Genomic DNA, 1,008 nt, shown 5'->3' with positions numbered 1-1,008 from the left:
GAGATCAGGAGGTAGGGAGATGATGGGGAAATCGCAGGTCACAGCATCTGGGCACCTGAGGCCAAAGTGCTTCAGGGTTGGCCTCAAGAGAAGACAAGAAAGATGAGGTGGGGGGAGGAGAGAGGAGGCCAGGCTGTCTGAGAGTCCCTGGGGAGAACCTCCAGGTGTTCCTCCTGCTGAGATAGGCAGGTGGGAAGTGAGAGAAGCGAGCGCTGATGACTGAGCTGCTGGCGTTCGCAGGAACCTAACTGACTCGGTGGTTGGAGCGGGGGAGTGAGGTTAATGGGAATCAGGAGGCTCTCTGAGCCCCGGGGCCTAGTCTTCCTCGTTCTTGTTCCCCTCTCCTTGCCTGAGTGGTCTGTGGTGACCAGCCAGGTTCCTTTACAGGAAACAGCCCAGCAACCTTACAGGGGGAAAAATGGAGTCCTCCTTAGGTGCAGAAACACAGCAACTTACCTAAGGTCTTGGGGCCCCCTCCCAGGGCAGTGCATCGAGGTGGGACGTGAGAAGAGAAAAGGGCTTGTCCAGAGGCGCGCGGTTCCACAGCCCATAAGGTTGGGGGTGGCCCGAACCTGAAACGGAGCCTTGGCCAGGATCCTGCAACCAAAGTCTGAAGCGCCCCCCGGTGGGGGCCGAGAGCGCTGCAGGCAGGTGGCGGCGCGGGGCAGGCGGGCGGGCGAAGGGAGCTCCGGCTACGCAGAGAACGCGGTGCGCCCCCTTCCCACCTGCGCGAGGGCATCCTGCCCGGGGGAGGAAAGGCGGGAGTCCGAGGCGGGTCGGATTCCCAGCCAGCTCCCTCCTCACAGGAGGCGGCCCATTATCCGGCGTCGTTAAAGAGCAATTAGATGGAAATTAAGCCGAGAACAAGTATTGATTATCTCATTAAGGCCGGGGGAGCCCGCTCAGTCGGGGAGAGTTTACCGCCGCTCACCCCATTATCTGCAAGGTGAAAGCCTGCGGTCATCAAAACCCAGTGATGTATCGATCTTGCCCCCATCCCCAAACCCA

At 60.3% G+C, this 1,008-nt stretch overlaps 3 annotated features.

Annotated features, from left to right (window-relative positions):
- Window positions 220-721: an enhancer, noted in NCBI's record as "H3K4me1 hESC enhancer chr10:102810093-102810594 (GRCh37/hg19 assembly coordinates)". NCBI's record gives its function as "activates a minimal SCP1, AML or CMV promoter by ChIP-STARR-seq in naive H9 embryonic stem cells {active_cell/tissue: H9 hESC(naive)}" and the evidence as "EXISTENCE:reporter gene assay evidence [ECO:0000049][PMID:30033119]".
- Window positions 220-729: a biological region, named in NCBI's record as "H3K4me1 hESC enhancer GRCh37_chr10:102810093-102810594".
- Window positions 540-729: a silencer, noted in NCBI's record as "silent region_2715". NCBI's record gives its function as "represses an Ori minimal core promoter by ATAC-STARR-seq in GM12878 lymphoblastoid cells {active_cell/tissue: GM12878}" and the evidence as "EXISTENCE:reporter gene assay evidence [ECO:0000049][PMID:35858748]".

The sequence above is a fragment of the Homo sapiens genome, chromosome 10 (assembly GCF_000001405.40).
Source record: "Homo sapiens chromosome 10, GRCh38.p14 Primary Assembly".
Lineage (NCBI taxonomy): Eukaryota > Metazoa > Chordata > Mammalia > Primates > Hominidae > Homo > Homo sapiens.
This window is presented reverse-complemented; position numbering and strand designations above follow the sequence as displayed.